Source organism: Homo sapiens, chromosome 15 (genome assembly GCF_000001405.40).
Source record: "Homo sapiens chromosome 15, GRCh38.p14 Primary Assembly".
NCBI classification, from domain to species: domain Eukaryota; kingdom Metazoa; phylum Chordata; class Mammalia; order Primates; family Hominidae; genus Homo; species Homo sapiens.
The window spans coordinates 66,998,518-67,016,729 of NC_000015.10; the positions used below are offsets into that span (position 1 = coordinate 66,998,518).

The window sequence follows — 18,212 nt, forward strand, 5'->3', positions numbered from 1 at the left end:
TCAAATTCTGCACATTCTCACTTATAAGTGGAGCTAAATGATGAGAACACATAGAACATGGATAGAGATGAAGTCCATTCCCCTTAGCAAACTAACCTGGGAACAGAAAATCAAATTTTGCACATTCTGACTTATAAGTGGAGTTAAATGATGAGAACACATAGACACAAAGAGGAGAACAATGGACACTGGAGCCTATTTGAGGGTGGAGGGTGGAAGAAGGGAAAAGATCAGAAAAAATAACTATTGGATACTAGGCCTAGTACCTGGGTGATGAAATAATCTGTAAAACAAACCCCCATGACACGAATTTACCTATATAACAAACCTACACATGTACCCCTGAACCTAAAATAAAAGTTTAAAATATTTTTAAAATAGTAAAAATTATATTTTTTAAAAAGTGAAAAGACTATCCACAGAATGAGAGGAAACATTTGATCACATATCTGATAAGGAACTCGTGTCCAGAATACATTTTTTTAAAAACCAATCTCTTACAACCTAATAATAAACAGACAAATAACCCAATTTAAAAATAGGCAAAGGCTTTGTAGACATTTCTCCAAAGAAGGTCTACAAATAGCCATGAATAACATGAAAAAGTGCTCAGCATCATTACTCATTAGGGAAATGCAAACCAAAGCCACAATTAGGTACCACTCCACACTCAGTAAGATGACTACAATAAAAAAAAAAAAAAGGATAATAACAAGTGTTGGTGAGGATGTGGAGAGAGTGGAACTCTCATCCATTGCTGGTGGGACTGTAAAATGGTGCAGCTGCTTTGGGAAACAGTTGGGTAGTTCTTCAAAAGTTAAATATACAGTTACCATATGACTCAGCAATTCTACTCCTATCTACCCGAGAGAAATAAAAACATATGTCCACACAAAAATCTGTACATGAATAGTCACAGATGTATTATTCATAATAGCCAAAAAGGGGAAACAACCCAAATGCCCATCAATGATGAATGAATAAACATGATGTGATATATTCATGCAATGGGACATTATTTATCAATAAAATGGAATAAAATATGGATATGTATACAATATGGTTGATCCTTAATACATTATGCTAAGTGAAAGAAGTCTACATATTGTATGATTCTATTTTTTTAAATGTCCATTTATATCAAAAATATGAGGCAGAATGGGCAAATATATGAGACAGAAAGTAGACTAGTGATTGCTTAGGGCTAAGGGTTGAGAGTTGGTGGAGGAAAATGGGGAATGACAGCTAATGAATATGGGTTTTGTTCTTAGAGTAGATGAAAATATTCTATAATTAGATTTGTTGATGATTGCACAACACTGTGAATATATTAAAACCATTGAGTTGTGACTTAAATGGGTGAATTATGTGATGTAAATTATCTATCAATAAGATTGTTAAAAAACCAATTGATCATATATGTGTGGATCTATTTCTGGATTCTATTCTGTTCCATTGAGTGATTTGTCTATCTTTTTTTTTCCCCAAGCCAAACTGTATCCAGCTTTATGAAAGATATTTTCCATAAACAATCATGGTATTTCAGGCAGGACATGGGCAGACAATTGTTAACAGTGCATGACAACTTTCAAATTCCCTTCTTCAATGGACTACCAAAAATCAGAAAGCCACTATAAAACCCAAGAAGTCTTCATCTGATGCTCTGAACAGGGAAAGTTCAGAGGGAATGTTGACATTTCACATTTAGCATGTTGTTTAACAGCTTTTCACAAGCTGACCCTGACTTTCAGGAAGTGAAATAAAAATGGCAGAATTTATCTGAAGATCCACAATCTAGAAATGGAACCACTGCTTTTTTGAGGGGTTCCATTTCAGTGGCATCACTGGAAAGTCCAGAGTGCCTGACACACCAGTAACCAATAATTGAGGGTCATTCTCCAACAGGTGTCTGGGCTTAAGGGAGTTAAGTCTATGCTGAAAGGTGGAAAGGGAGAAGAGGACATAAAAACGAATTTGTTTTTCCGTCCCACGAGGCTTTTGTGCCAAGGGACCTTGTGTGTCAAAGTCAGGGAATCCCTCCTCCTGGGAGCCAAGAGCAAGTCTCTCAAAACTAGAAGGGAAAGGGGTTTTCACCACGTCAACCTAGCTTCGGAGACATTCTGTTAGTGACATATGCCCCTTCCCCAAAAAAACACAATGAAGTGTTCTGTGTGCTAACAACATAGCTTAAAAAAAAGGTAAAACAAAATTCTGCATTTTTATAAAACTTGATAAAAAATAGCATTTCTAACTGTACAGTCACCAGAAGTACACAGTTATCAAAAATGCACACACTTCACTTGGCATCTGCAGCACCTTCAGCTTTCTGTGTCTGGTCTGTTTGGGCATCTCCATTTTCTGCAGGGTTATTCCCCTCCTGGCCAGCCTCAGCTTTTCCCTTTTCCCTTTTGGTACCTTCTCTCCCTTCTTTGCAGGGGCCTTTTTAGGTTTGGGCTCCGGCTTTGGAGGAGCAGGTTTAGTAGAAAACCTCGTGGATCTTCTCTGTGGTTTGTCCTTCATCTTGGCTCTATCTGCTTTAGCATCACCTTCAGCCTTTCTCTTGGGCACTGTGGTGGCGGCAACGGCGGGGGGACATAGGCGCTGGGTGCGGGATGCAGCGCGGCACGCAGGTGTTGGTCTGTCCAGGGGTCGTTCTCGCCTCTTGTTCTTCACCCTGCTCCGATTTGTCTATCTTGACACCAATACCACGCTATCTTGATCATTGGAGCTTTTTAGATGTGGAAATTTGTGCAATTTCAACAACTTTCTTCTTCTTTTACAAAATTGTTTGGGCTGTCATACGTTGTTTTTAGAATCAATTTGTTATTTTTACGAAAAACAGCATGCTGGGTTTTTTATTGGGATAGTACTGAGTCTGTAGATCAACTTTAACAGAATTAACAGCTTAATATTACTGAGTCATCTGATCCATGAGGATATATATCTCTTCACTTATTTAGGTCATCTTTGATTTCTCTCAGCAATATTTTCAGTGCATGGGTCTTACACATCTTTTGCCACATTTGTCCCTAAGGATTTCATATTTTTGATGACCCACAGAGTTTTAAAAGAAATATATTGGCAGAAATACTGCTAGATTAGACTGAAAGGGACAGAGACAGTACAAAATGAACAGAGGCTCTTTGAACCCCTCAAATTCTACTGGCAGGGAGCAGACTGAGAAAGCTGCTCAGTTGTGAACATGTGCAACTTTTCCTTTAAAAATATTTTTGGTTTTTTAAAATTTTAATTTCCAATTCTTTGTTGCTTGTGTATAAGAATACAATTGATCATCCAAAAAAAATTGATCTGTATCCTATACATTTCTTTTCTTTTTTTTTTTTTTTTTTTTTTTGAGAGGGAGTCTCACTCTGTTGCTCAGGCTGGAGTGCAGTGGCGTGATCTAGGCTCACTGCAACCTCCACCTCTTGGGTTCAAGTGATTCTCCTGCCTCAAGCTCCCAAGTAACTGAGATTAGCCATGCCTGGCTAATTTTTATATTTTAGTAGAGACTGGGTTTCACCACGTTTGTCAGGCTGGATTACAGGTGTGGCCACCACGCCCGGCCTGTATCCCATAAATTTCTTAAATTCACTTATTAGTTCTAGCGGCTTTTTTGTAGACTCCTTATAATTTTCTACCTAGACAATTGTGTCATCTGCAAATTAAGAGTTTTATTTCTTCCTTTCTAATTTGAATGCATTTTATTTTTTGCTTTATTGCACTGGCTAGAACTCCCACTAGAATGTTGGGTTAAAGTGGTGAGAGTACACATCACTGTCTTATTCTAGGTGTTAGGTGAAAGCATTCAGTGTCTTACTGTTGTGGTAGCCAGCCTCCAAGATGGTACTGATGATCTTCATCTGCTGGTGTTCATATCCTTGTTAGTCCCTGTGTGTCTGGATTGGTTTGTATGACCAATAGAATAAAGAAGAAGTGATCATGTGTGAATACAGAGACTAGATCATAAAAGGCATTGTTACTTCCCTCTTGGTCACTCTCTTTAGAATAGTTTCTTTTGAGGGAAGCCAGCTGTTATGCCAAGTAGCCTTCTGGAGTCTCTTGTGACAAGGAACTGTGGCCTCCTGACAATAGTCAGTGAGGAACTGAGCCTCTAGCCAACAGCCACATGAAAGATGCCATGTTAGAGGTGAATCCTCCATCCCCAGTCAAATCATAACTGCAGCCCTGGCCAGCAACTTGGCTACAACCTATGGAAGGCCCTAAGCCAGAACCACCCAGGTTCCTGGCCCTCAGAAACTGCACGGAGGAAAAAAAAAAAAGTTTAAGCTGCTAAGCGTTGGGTAATTCTTTATAAAGCAATAGATAACTAATAAAGACTTCGGTATTTAGAAGTGGGAGGCTGCCATAATAAAAACTTAAAATTTAGGAATGGTTTTGGAACTGAGCAATTGGTAGGAGCTGGAAGGACATTGAAGAGACTGCTGGTGAGGACTTAAAAGTAAATGAGGAGCATGTTATTGGAAACTGGAGGAAGGAAGATTCTTACTATGTAGTTACTATGTAATTCTTATTATATATTCTTATTATGTAGTTAGCAACACTGTCAGCTGTGGTTTTGTGGAAACTAGAGAATGTCACTAGTGAACTAGGTAATTGGGCTAAGGACTGTTAGCCAAGACTGTTGAGGGTACTGCCTCATAGCTTGCTGCTTATAGTAAAATGCTAGAGGAAAGATTGTTTGTTTGTTTGTTTGTTTTTAAAAAGGAGCCGGGCACAGTGCCTCACACCTGTAATCCCAGCATTTTGGGAGGCTGAGGTGAACAGATCACTAGGGCCCAGGAGTTTGAGACCAGCCTGGGCAATGTGGCAAAACCTCATCTCTACAAAAAATTCAAAATTTAGCTAGGTGTAGTGTTGCATGTCTGTAGTCCCAACTACTCAGGAGGCTTAGGTGGGAGGATCGCTTGAGCCCAGGAGATCGAGGTTGCAGTGAGCCATGTTCACGCCACTGCACTCCAACCTGAGTGACAGAGCAAGACCTTGTCTCAAAAAAAAAAAAAAGGAGACAGGGCTTGCTATTTATGAAGATTCCCACCTCTCTAGATAGCAAGCAATGCTAACATTAAGAAATAGCTTCTGGGGCAAATATTAAACCCAGGGGCCTCTCAGGAAATTGTGTTCTTAGGATGAAGCTGAGGGAAGAGTGTGACTGTGAAGTCCTTTGTTAAAACCTAAGGAAGATTCAAAAGGCAGTGTTTCACAGTACCATTCAGTCACACTGCAATTCTGAAGATTTCACGGCGTGACTCACTAGAAGTGAATCGCTAACTGGGACAAGATTCCAGAGCCAAATAACTGGATGAGCAAGAGGACACCGAGAGGGATATGTGGAACAGGTAATCCTTTCCAGGAACTGCTAAGAGAGTAGAGGTTGTGGCCATGAACATGGCTCAGGTTCGAATCCCAGTTCTGCCGCTTATTGGCTACGTGATCTTGGGTAAGACAGAAGGTTTCCTTAGCAGTAAAATGGGCATTAAATTACATACTTTCTAGAGTTGTTGTGAAGGTTAAATGGCTTAATATACATAAGCACCCAGAACAATGCCTGACATCTAGGTTATGGTAAAGAAGTAATAGTTGTCATCATTATTTAGGAAGGTGAAGTGAAAAAAACCTATATTTCTTATAGCGAAGCTGGATGTGGCCCAGCTGTTAGAATTCGAGCAACAAAAGGAATTATGGTCTCATGTGTTGTCACAGGCTATGGAGGCTCTCAGAAGCTATCAAAATAGAGCAGTCAACCAAGGGACAAATGTGAGACCAGGTCCCAGAGGTTTAATTTGCATCTGGCAATTGAGTGACACAAAGAGCTGGGAAGTGAAAAGGAGAAATTGCTGTGGTCTGAGAATACTTAGAGTCAACTAGAGCTGGAAGGGGTTTTTTCTTTGTTTGTTTGTTTCGGAGTTGGAGTCTTGCTCTGTCACCCAGGCTGGAGTGCAGTGGAGTGATCTCAGCTCACTGCAACATCTGCCTCCTGGGTTCAAGCCATTCTCCTGCCTTAGCCTCCTGAGTAGCTGGGATTACGGGCACCCACGACCACTCCCGACTAATTTTTGTGCTTTTAGTGGAGACAGGGGTTTCACCATGTTGACCAGGCTGATCTCGAACTCCTGACCTCAGTTGATTCACCCACCTCAGCCTCCTAAAGTGCTGGGATTACAGGCTTGAGCCACCGTGCCTAGCCCGGGAGGGGTTTTTATATAAGCATGTCCAATATGATCATTTCTGTCAGAGAAAGGAGCTTAGAGGGGAAGTGACTCTGCTAGTGGTGGCGTAGCTGGGCCTGGCGCTGAGGAGTCCATGGTCTCCTGGTGCCTGCAGCACTGAAGCGGACATCAGCACCCCCTTTCCTCTGTGATAACCAGCCTTGGCAAGGCCTGCTCAAAAATGGCTGGTACTTACTGTCAGAGAAGAGCTGAGACAATAACAAATGCTAATATAATTTTCTATGCCTTTAGCTTGCATTTGTTAAGCACTTACTATGTACTAGTCACAATCGTATTAGAATAAACCATTTGGGGCCTATAAAAATGACAGTTTCACCGGGCGTGGTGGCTCATGCCTGTAATCCCAGCACTTTGGGAGGCTGAGGTGGGAGGATCACAAAGTCAGGAGTTCGAGACCAGCCTGGCCAATATGGTGAAACCCCGTCTCTACTAAAAATACAAAAATTAGCTGGGCGTGGTGGCGGGCGCCTATAATCCCAGCTACTTGGGAGGCTGAGGCAGGAGAATCGCTTGAACCCAGGAGGTGGAGGTTGCAGTGAGCCAAGATGGCGCCATTGCACTCTAGACTGGACGACAAAGTGAGACTCTATCTCAAAAAAAAAAAAAAAGACAATTTCATATAGGTCAACCTAATATTTTACTTCATTTAATCCTGATAAAACTCTATGTGGTATATACTATAATTATCTCCATTTTACAGATGGAGAGACTGAGGCACAGAGAGGTTAAGTGTCTTACCCAAGGTCACACAGCTGGTAAGTAGTGGAGATAGTTTACCAATCCAGGAGGTCTGACTGTAGAGCCTATACTTGCAAACCCCTTCTTTATACACTAAGGTGGCTCTGCCCACAGTCTTAAGGGGCTGGCCCTGACACCTGTCCCCTACCCCAGCCCTCAAAGCCTGGTAACCAGCTTTCCTCAGGGAGTTAGACCAGCCCTAACCCTCCTGGAGCCTTATCAGAAAGAACTGGTGCTAGATCAGCCCTGTGATCTCTTGCTGGCTGGGCTGCAAGACAATGGAACGACTCGTGCACATCATGCGTTGCGGTGGAGACAATGCATTTCTCCAAACACAAGCCACCAGAATAACAAACACTGCTGACTTCCATAGCACCAAAGTCTAAATATTGAAGTGGAGCATCCGTGCCTCGCCACGTGTGGTAATATTCCAGTGGAAAAAAGCCGGCAGTTGCTATTGTCTGGATTCCCCAGAGGGAAGATCTGAGGCTGTTTCTCTGGTCTTGTGAGACTTCTGCTGCCTCTCCCAAGGCCCCAGCCTGAAAGAGGGATTGTTTGATGTCAGACAAACTTGGGGACCCCAAACATCCCCCTGCAATCTGCACTGGTCTATAGCAAAACAAGCAAATAATGACAATGTGGAGAGGTTTTCCTAAAACAAAATGTATTCCATTTAAAGAGTCCTATTCATGATGCACAGCTTCCTTCTCACAGTGGCCCCTGCACTCTGTGTCAGCTCCATTCCCCTCTCTGTACTTAGCAGTTTCCTCCTCTGACACATACCCTCTGCATTGCACAAGGGCCGTCGCCAGCCCTAACTATACTTCTTGACTTGTCAGTCTCAATTTCCATTGCTCACAGCCTCAGTCTCTACATATTGCTTTGCTCATATTCTCTTGAGAGAATCTGACTGGCCTATGTGCCTCTTTTTAAAATTTTTTCAAATTTTGTAGAGTTAGGATCTTGCTATGTTGCCCAGGCTGGTCTCAAACTCCTCACCTCAAGCAATCCTCCCAGCTAGGCCTCCCAAAGTGCTGGGGTTACAGGTGTGAGCCACCACACCCAGCCCTAGCATGCCTCTTTAACACCAGACCACGTTATATGTTGTCGGCCAGCCAATCAACCACCTGCCTTGGGGCCAGGTGGCCACGATGGGTCCAATAAGCTGGCAGGGTTATATGGCCCTAAACAGGGTTCCCTTTTGCAGCAGGTAGTGGCAGCAGGCCAGCTCCCCTCAGAAGGGATGTAAAAGGCAAGTGCTATGATTGACATGGCTGGTACAAAAGTCCGGTTCTAAGGTTTCATGCCAACACTGTATTGGTATTTCTCAGCCCAGGAAGGTCAGAGTCGTGGCTCAGGAAGATCCACCCGAGACACACAAGGGATACCAGAGCACTGGGCTTGTGGGGAGAGGCAGCCAAGGGTCAGACACATGCTAAATGGACAGGATTCAGCCCAGGGGGGTGGTTGCAGAGTCAGAGAAGAAGACACAGATTTAGACCTGTCTAGGAAGAAATCAGGAAGCCTTGGTGAATAATAGATCGATGGTGGCATCGTTCACAGAGAAAAAGGACAGGAGAAGAGCAGATTTGGGAGATGAAGGAGACATGGGCGTTCCCTTCTGGCATGAGATATGAGACATTCTACTACATTTACCATCAGAAAGTAGGCTGTTCAAGTGCCAACTTTAGGAAAGAAGTCAGGGTTGGAAGGACAGATGTGACAGATGTGGGTGGACGAAACCATGGAGTGGGTGATGTCGCCCTGGGAGAAGTGGAGCATGTGACCGACAGCGAGTGAATGAATGACCTGGTCAAGACTTGGGACTTGCTCATGTTTCATTCTTCCCCAAGTGACAAGCACTCACTGAGACCCTGCTCTCAGATAAGGCAGAGTGGTGAATGGAAAGAATAAGGATATGGGCTCTGAACACAATGCCAAGTTCAATGGTGGGCTCTGAAATGTACTAGCAATTGGTCTTTGGGCTTTGACCTTAACCTCTTGCAGCCTTAGTTTCCACATCTCAAAACGGGTGTAATGATATGTACCTCGTCAGGCTGTAGTGAGGATTTAAAAAGGTAGCAATGGTAGAGTTCCAAGCAGAGGATTTGGTGTGTGTAGTAGGCATTTAACAGAACTTACAGGGCCAGGCACAGTGGCTCACCCTGTGATTCTAGCACTTTGGGAGGCCGAGGCGGGCAGATCACCTTAGGTTGGGAGTTTGAGATCAGCCTGACCAACATGGAGAAACCCCATCTCTACTAAAAATACAAAATTAGCTGGGTGTGCTGGTGCATCCCTGTAATCCCAGCTACTCGGGAGGCTAAGGCAGGAGAATAGCTTGAATCCAGGAGGCAGAGGTTGAGGTGAGCTGAGATCATGCCATTGCACTCCAGCCTTGGCAACAAGAGCAAAACTCCATCTCAAAAAAAAACAAAAACAAAAACAAAAAACAGAACTTACAGACTCCTGCCTCCTGCTGAACGCAGTTGTGAAATACTCACAGCATATTCTGGTAAAGAGCAGAACAGAGATTCTGAGGATGCCATACCCCTATAGCCAATGGCCTCTCCGAGGGACCCACTGACTGTCAATAATCTCATCTGGAGATGTCAGTAGTCTACATTTGAGGCCTGGGCCAAATAGTACTCCTGCTCCCCACCCACATGCCTGGCACATGCCCTCTGTGCCAGGCCGTGCCCAATCATGTGGGCTCACTCCCCAGTGGGGGCTTCCCTCTTGCAGAACTCCCTCAGGCCCCCAAATCTGCATACCCCTGGCCCCATCCTCCCCCTGCCTGCAGCTACCCAGGTACTGGCCACTCTCCAAGGGTAGTAACCAGTTTCCAAGTCTTCCAAACTTCCCATGAGCCAAGAGCTTCCATTCTGATGTGTATACTAGTGTCATGCAGATAGAAGTCACACAGGAAAAAGTATTCCCTTTAGTTAATGTCAAACATTCAACACTTGAACATTAGTTTACTTCATGTCATAAGATTTCTTCAAAGAAGTTCATAGAACTCTCTTGGGAGAAATAAATGAAGATGAAAATAAGAGGAAGGTATGCCCATTCCAGCATAGAAGACTAGAAATAGCAAAGGCAACAATTTACCTTAAGTTTCTGTATAGATTTATTTATTTATTTATTCATTTATTCATTAATCTTGTTAGTATTGTTTTTGGAAACGGAGTTTCATTCTTGTTGCCCAGGCTGGAGTGCAATGGCACAATTTCAGCTCACTGCAACCTCTGCCTCCCCAGTTCAAGTGATTCTCCTGCCTCAGCCTCCCAAGTAGCTAGGATTACAGGCATGCGCCACCACACCTGGCTAATTATGTATTTTTAGTAGAGACAGGGTTTCATCATGTTGGTCACTCTGGTCTCGAACTCCTGACCTCAGGTGATCTGCCCACCTCAGCCCCCCGAAGTGCTGGGATTACAGACATGAGCCACTGCTCCCAGCCAGATTTAATGTACTACCTATCAAAGCCCCTAAAGGATACTTTATAAGACCTTGATTAAATGAATAGTGATGTCGTTACCAGATTAAATGGTTAAAAAGACTAAAGCTTCTCTTGAAAGGGTATGATAGTATATTTAGCCTACCAGATTTCATAACATATTACAAAGTGACAATTATCCAAACTATATGGTAACAATGGGGAAAAAATGATCAATGGAAAAGATTAAACTATCCCAAATTAATCCAATATATAGTAAAACTAAAAATAGTTCAACAATCCAGTGAAGAAAATAATTATCATATAATAAATGATTTGGAGAGAATTGTAATGTGGAGAAGAGTTACTCACACTTTGTACCATTTTCTGCAATAAATTGCATGAGATTATGTTCCTGTCTGAAAAACAAACCATAAAAAAGACTTGAACATGCAATCCCACATTGATCGTATTGGAAGAAAATCCATAATCAGAGACAAAAAAAATCAATTAAAAAATAGGAAACTTTTATTGAATAAAATATAGGACAGTCACAAGAGGAAAATAACAGCCTGGAAGAAATAACCAACCAGCGATACATCTAAAATTTATTAATTTTTGCTTTTTTACAAAAAGCTAAAATCAGTGCCCAGATTCCACTCCGTAAGCAACAAAGGAGGTGAACAGACAGTTTACACAGGAAGCACAGATGGTAAATCAAAACATGAAAAAGTACATAGTTCTACCAGAAACAAGAGGAATGCAAACACACAAGCTCTGGGTATCAGTGCATGCTTACCAAACTAGTGAAAAGAAAATGAAATCATCAAACCCTGAATGGGTGGGGCTGTGGGAAACAGGCAGGATGGTATAGAGAGGCTCAGGGCTGACCTGCAGCCAGACAGCTGGATTAAACATGGGCTACACCGTGTGCCACTTCTGAGACCTTGGGCGACTTATCTCTCTATGCCTTGGCTTCCTCACCTGTCAAATGAGGTGTAAATGAGTTGACATATATAAAGTGCTTGGAACAGTGCTTAGCATTTAGTCAGTACTCTATAAGTGCCAGCTATTATTAATATTTGTGTGGGGTGGTGGTTTTCTCTCAACTGTAGTAACAGGGCATGGACTTTGGAGCCAGAAAGATCATTCTTTCAACAAATATTTACCAAATGCCAGATCCAGGTGCAAATCCCAATTCCATTAATTACTAGTAATGTCGCCTTGTGAAAACTGCTTAGAAATCCTGAATCTCAGTTTCCTCCATCAGTAAAATGGAATCATAAAATCTACTACCTAGTGCTGTTTGAAGTGTAATGAGATACTACATATAAATTCCTAGGATGGGACAGGCACGTAGACATCCTTAACACATATTGGATTCTTCACTCCTCCTCCTAGAACGTCAGCTCAGCCCAGGTGTCCAGCCCAGATCTGTGATCATGCAATTTGCCCTCCACTGCCTGCCAGCTCAACCCAGCTAAGATCTTTAGAGCCCCAACCCCTGAAGGCCCATTATGCCATCTACCTCCAACATATGTAAATCAAAAGAATAACATCACCAATTCATAAAATAAATGTTGGTGCTTTTTCTTGTTGTCGTTTGTTTGTTTGTTTTTGAGACAGAGTCTCACTCCATCACCCAGGCTAGAGTGCAGTGGTGCAATCTCGGCGCACTGCAACCTCTTCCTCCTAGGCTCAAGCAATTCTCCTGTCTCAGCCTCCCCAGTAGTTGGGATTATAGGCGGCTGCCACCACACCTGGCTAACTTTTTGTATTTTTAGTAGAGACAGGGTTTCACCATGTTGGCTAGACTGGTCTCGAACACCTGACCTCAAGTGATCCGCGCCTGCCTTGGCCTCCCAAAGTGCTGGGATTATAGGTGTAAACCACCGTGCCTGGCCTAAATGTTGGTGTTTTGATGTGCCATGCAACTTACACATGTGCTGAAATACAGTTGTTTATTTCTGTATTATCTTTCTCCCTCTCGATTACTTCTTTTGGTCTGCCTGTTTGTTGCTGACCTTTTGCAGGTGGCTAAGCCAGCCCAGTGGGTCATCCCTGCCACTACCAAATCACCCCCATGGCATGCAGGCCATACCAACTTCAGATTCCTCCCTCCCCAGGGGAATTTACATTTTAGGTGGTGGGGAACAAGAGCTCCTGGGGGCCAAAAGCCTGTCACAGAATCGGCACCCAGTAAATATTTGTGGAATGAAGGGGTGAGTGGATACATGAAATGTTTCTGAACAGTAGAATTTGAGCTGCCATGGGAGGCAGAGGGGAAGGATAGCAATGCTATTTTTGCTATATTTTAAAATCCCCACTTCTCTTTAATGGAGAGACAAAGTAACCAGAACTCTTCAAATCACACTAGGTAAATTCAAGGCTGATATTTAACAGGTCGAGTGGCACAGATACTGACCAATCAGAATAGACCTGGAGAGCCGTGCTGGACTCAGCACAACCCCTTTGCTTGTGGATAATGGAAGCCCGGGGGTTCTGAAGGCTGGGGCTACAGAGGAGGGGACACTAAGGGCTTGAGGCAGCTGCTAGTCATCAACTGGTATGAAAACATTTCAGTACTCAAACAGCAAGCACAGCAGTGTCACACACATGATAATTAAACGTCAGCTCGGGTTAGGTAGCTGCATGAGAATCAAGAAACTTCTGCCATTTCCCCTCCCTAGGCCCCAATTTCTCGTCTACAAAACAATAAAACTTACTAGTCTTCAGGTTCACTCTAGTTCTGACTACCTGTGATTTTAATATAATAATAAGGAGAACAATTTATAAAAGCCAGCCTGGTATGGCAGAAAAGGCACATGCTCTGAAGCCGGTAGACCCAGTTCAAAGTCCAGCTGTTACTTACTGTGAGGCTCGGGTCCAAATCAATTAACTTCTCGGAACCTCCACTTTTTATTAATTCAACTAACATTTATGGAGCCCTTTTTATGTACCAGGTCCTAAGGACACTTTAGTGAACAAGACCCAGTCCCTTGCCATCATGGAACTCGCTGTTCTACCGAGGACTCTTTGGATGCAAGTGACAGAAACTGGCTCAAGCTAGCTTAGGCAAAACCAGAATGCATCATAAGAATGTAGCAAGCCTGGAGGGGCCCAGGAGGGAAAGCAACCAGACTTTGCTTAGAACCTGGACAGGAAGGCCACCAGCCTCTCTACCACCCTCAGCTACCTGCTGCATTACTCTCTTCTCCCCCTCAACCCCTCAGTTCTGATAAGCCTCAGTTAATATGACATCTCAATTCTAAACTCTCCACAAAGAATCCCAGCACTTGGCTGGGCGCAGTGGCTCATGTCTGTAAGCCCAGCACTTTGGGAGGCTGAGGTGGGTGGATCACCCGAAGTCAGGAGTTTGAGACGAGCCTGACCGACATGGCAAAACCCCATCTCTACTAAAAATACAAAAAGTAGCTGAGTGTGGTGGCTACTCCGCACCCGAGATCCTCCACACACACACTCTGCCTCCCGGGAATCTCTTGAACCCAGGAGGCAGAGGTTGCAGTGAGCCCAGATCGCACCACTGCACTCCAGCCTGGGTGACAGACTGAGACTTCATCTCAAAAAAAAAAAAAAAAAAAAAAAAGAATCCCAGCACTTTGGGAAACCAAGGCGGGTGGATCACTTGAGGTCAGGAGTTCAAGACTGGTCTGGCCAACATGGCAAAACCCTGTCTCTACTAAAAATATAAAAATTAGCAGGGCGTGGTGAGGCACTCCTGTAGGCCCAGCTACTAGGGAGGCTGAGGCCGAAGAATTGCTTGAACCCGGGAGGCAGGGGTTGCAGTGAGCCGAGATCACGCCACTGCACTCCAGCCTGGGTGACAGAGTGAGATTCCATCTCCATAAATAAATAAATTCTCCACAAAGAGAACCTGATTGGCCCAGCTTGAGCCACATGCCCACTCCTAATCTAATCACCTATGACCATAAGGCGGGACCACTAGGTACAAACGTGGCCTCAGGGACTCACCCATGTGATGGGGGAGGGGTCCAAATTCCCAAAAAAGGGAGCTTGTAGATCCTGGTGTCCACTTCACCACCTCATAGGGTGGATGTAAAGATGAAATGAAATTCCATGTAAAGTGACTGGCACATAGCCTGGCAGACATAGCTGGAGCACTGTGCCTCTGTGCCTTGCTAATAATTGGTGCTTGACTAAAACATGTGCTGAACAGGGGAACAATATTATTAACAATGATACCTTTCATGTATCCACCAACTTTATGTCCATTCCATTCGTTACTTCCTCTGTTGCCTGGATCTCGAGCCCCACCTTGCTGAATGGACTTAAAACAAGTTAGTTGGGCACATGTGGCTCCCAGGCTGGATGGCATCCACATGGTGGGTGCCTGATGTGCTGAATGGATGAATGAGTGAATGTTCTTCCACCCAGCCCTCAGTGCTCTGCTGAGGCAGGATGGGTGGCTGGAAAAATGGGGTCTTTGGAATTTGTCTCCTTTTCACCTAGATCTTTGTTAGATCTTTTTCCTCCTTTGTTTAGTAACCAAAGAACCGAGAACTCAGGAAGAGATCAAGGACTGGGTTCAAGTCCTCCCACTCCCCCCACCCCCCATCTAATTTGATGACTATCATTGAGATACTGACCACCCCTCTCTGGACTTGGTTTCTTTACTGGCAAATGGATATGGGCGCACTGATGATGGCTGCTTGGCTCTACGCGTTTGGGAGGATTGGCCAAAGTCAGAGGTGGGAAAGGACTTTGACAAGGCCTGGCCTCAGCCCTTCCCCACCACCATCCACAGGGGAATCTTGGGTCTCTCTGATCAGACCCCTGCAGCCTGGCGGGAAGAGATCTCCAGGCCTTCCGCCCAGCTGCTCCGTGCCCTTGGGAGCCCCTGCGTCGCCAGCCCACGACCAGCCGATGACTTTACCAGCTGTGTGGTTGAAACCCGAGCTCTCTTGCCAGGACTTGAACAGGAAGTTTTTTCCTGTGGTGGAAGCTTTTGTTCTCCAAGTCGAATTTCCCTCAGCTGACGTCAGCCCCAACTTAGGCCCAAGCCCATTGAACCTGCAGTGGGGCTGAGGGAGGGCTGCCTTGCAGGACAGAAGGTGCAGGTTTCAGGCACCGATGGCTGTCTCCACCTTCCTCTTCTTCCTGCATTAGCCCACCATGGCCTGGGGTCAGCTCCCTGTCCATTGGCTCCGAAGGAAAGTTGCAGGAAGCTCATTCATTCTGAGAGGGGTTAGAAAGGTGGGTGGAACGTGTTTTCTAATTTTGGTCCAGTCACTTACTGTTAGCTGAGTGACTTGGGCTGGACACGTAACCTCACTGGGACACGTAACCTCAGTGGGACTCAGTTTCCTCATCTGTAAAATAGGAATAATAGTCCCTCATACCTCCTAGTAGTGGGTATCAAATGTAAATCATTAAAAACTGCCTGGTACATAGTAAATGCTCAGTGAATATGAGCATTAATTTTTGTCCTTATTATGTATCCCTCTGGTGAAGAGGAAATTAGATGTTGTGTGTGAGTTACCTACAGAGGGTCCAGCTCAAAGACAGAGGCAGAAATAATCCCTTTACTAAGGGAAGATCATGCTTTTCTGCTGTAGGAATCTGGCTGTGCTTTCCTTCCCAGAAGCACAAGGCTTCACAAAGATGACTCTGTTTGTTTGTTAAGACTGCCATAACAAAGTACCACAAACTGAGTAGTTTAAATAACAGAAATGCATCCTTTCATAGTTCTGGAGGCTAAAAGTGTGAAATTAAGTTATCCAGCAGGGTTAGTTCCTTTCGAGGGTTGTGAGGGAAGGATCTGTCCAGGTCTCTCTTTTTGGCTTGTAGATGGCCGTCTTTTCCCTCACACCATCTTTCTTCCTTCTATGTGTATCTCTGTGTCCAAATCTCCTCTTCTTTTTTTTTTTGCGGGAGGCCAGTGGGGAAGGGCAGGGTCTCGCTTCATCACCCAGGCTGGAGTGCAGAGGTGCGATAATGGCTCACTGCAACCTCAAACTCCAGGGCTCAGGTGATCCTCCTGTCTCAGACTCCTGAGTAGCTGGGACCACAAGCACATGCCACCACACCTGGCTAATTTTTTTTTTTTTATTTGTAGAGATGGGGTCTTACTATGTTGCCCAGGCTGGTCTCAAATTCCTGGGCTCAACCAATCCTCCCACCTCCCAAAGTGCTAGGATTACAGATGTGAGCCGCTGTGCCCGGCCCAAATCTCCACTTTTTTTTTTTTTTTTTGAGATGGAGTTTAGCTCTTGTTGCCCAGGCTGGAGTGCAATGGCGTGATCTCAGCTCACCACAACCTCCGCCTCCCGGGTTCAAGCGATTCTCCTGCCTCAGCCTCCCGAGTAGCTGGGATTACAGGCATGTGCCACCATGCCCAGCTAATTTTGTATTTTTAGTAGAGACTGGGTTTCTCCATGTTGGTCAGGTTGGTCTGGAACTCCTGACCTCAGGTGATCTGCCTGCCTTGGCCTCCCAAAATGCTGGGATTACAGGTGTAAGCCACCGCGCCCGGCCTCCACTTCTTATAAGGACACCAGTGTTTTTGGATTAGGGCCCACCCAAATGACCTCATTTTGATTTGGTTACCTCTGTGAAGGCCCTGTCTCCAAATGATGTGACATACTGAGGGTTAAGACTTCAACATATGAATTTCAGAGGGACTAACTCAACCCATAGCAATGACCTGGGGGAAAGGACAATGCTTAACTTGAAGGTGGATTTCAAGTCTTAACACCAGAATAGAGAAGATAATTTGGAGGAGAAAGGCCTCCTTGAGGCCTGTCAAATCCTCCCTCGAGCATGGCTATTTACATAAATACAATAGTGTCATGTTTTCAAAGCATCAGAACCTAGTTATGGGACCCAAATAATTAAATTACTTGTTTTCCACTCTAAACCTCTGTTCCCCATTCCTAATTTCATCTGCCAATATCAAACAGGAAATCTGAGATTCCCCAGTAAAAACTATGCCATCCTCAATTCCTTGGCAATGGAGTTGCAAAGAAGGAGCAATGGATAGGGAGTTAATGGAGCTAGACCCACGCGCTTGCTGTGTGATCTTGGCCATGTGACCACCTCTCTGGACCTCAGTCTCAATTGTAGTTTGTGTGATTGTGTATGTGTGTATGCACAGGTGTAAGAAAGGTGGAGGGATGGGCCGGGTGTGGTGGCTCACGCCTGTAATCTGAGCATTTTGGGAGGCCAAGGCAGGCAGATCACGAGGTCAGGAGTTTGAGACCAGCCTGGCCAATATTTTGAAACCCCATTTCCACTAAAAATACTAAAATTAGCCAGGCATGGTGGCGCACCTCTGTAGTCCCAGCTACTCAGGAGGCTGAGGCAGGAGAATTGCTTGAACCTGGGAGGTGGAAGTTGCAGTGAGCTGAGATTGCACCACTGCACTCCAGCCTAAGCAACACAGCAAGACTCCTTCAAAAAAAAAAAAAAAGAAAGAAAGAAAAGAAAAGAAAGAAAGAGAGAGAGAGGGAGGGAGCGAGGGAAGGAAAGAAAGAAAGGTGGAGGGAGACGATCTGACTTCTGACTGCTGCTCTAACGGGAGGGTCATGGGACAAAGCTGGTGCACCTTCTTTGAGTGTCAATTTCATATGAAGGTAAGCAATTCCAAATATAATTTTAAAACCCCAAAGCACCCAAGTATGTCAGAGTAGGATGCAACACTGCATGCGCTTTTATGCTAAAACATGAGGTTTTAGAGAAATTAGAGATACACTAGGCTTTTAGTGGCTGCCGCATACTTCATTTCATAACCCTGATCCCTGGTG

The 18,212-nt window shown here is 44.4% G+C and overlaps 1 long non-coding RNA gene and 1 pseudogene across 1 annotated transcript in view, besides 1 other annotated feature; both read right to left on the minus strand.

The window, feature by feature from the left end:
- The window catches only part of SMAD3-DT (SMAD3 divergent transcript), a 79,976-nt gene that overhangs the window by 14,311 nt on the left and 47,453 nt on the right, over positions 1-18,212 (minus strand). The gene's annotated exons all lie outside the window — the stretch shown is intronic.
- Positions 2,099-2,680, minus strand: HMGN2P47 (high mobility group nucleosomal binding domain 2 pseudogene 47; annotated as a pseudogene).
- Positions 10,103-10,281: a silencer, noted in NCBI's record as "fragment chr15:67300958-67301136 (GRCh37/hg19 assembly coordinates)". NCBI's record gives its function as "represses an EF-1alpha promoter that drives an FKBP-Casp9 reporter gene in an ReSE screen in K562 erythroleukemia cells {active_cell/tissue: K562}" and the evidence as "EXISTENCE:reporter gene assay evidence [ECO:0000049][PMID:32094911]".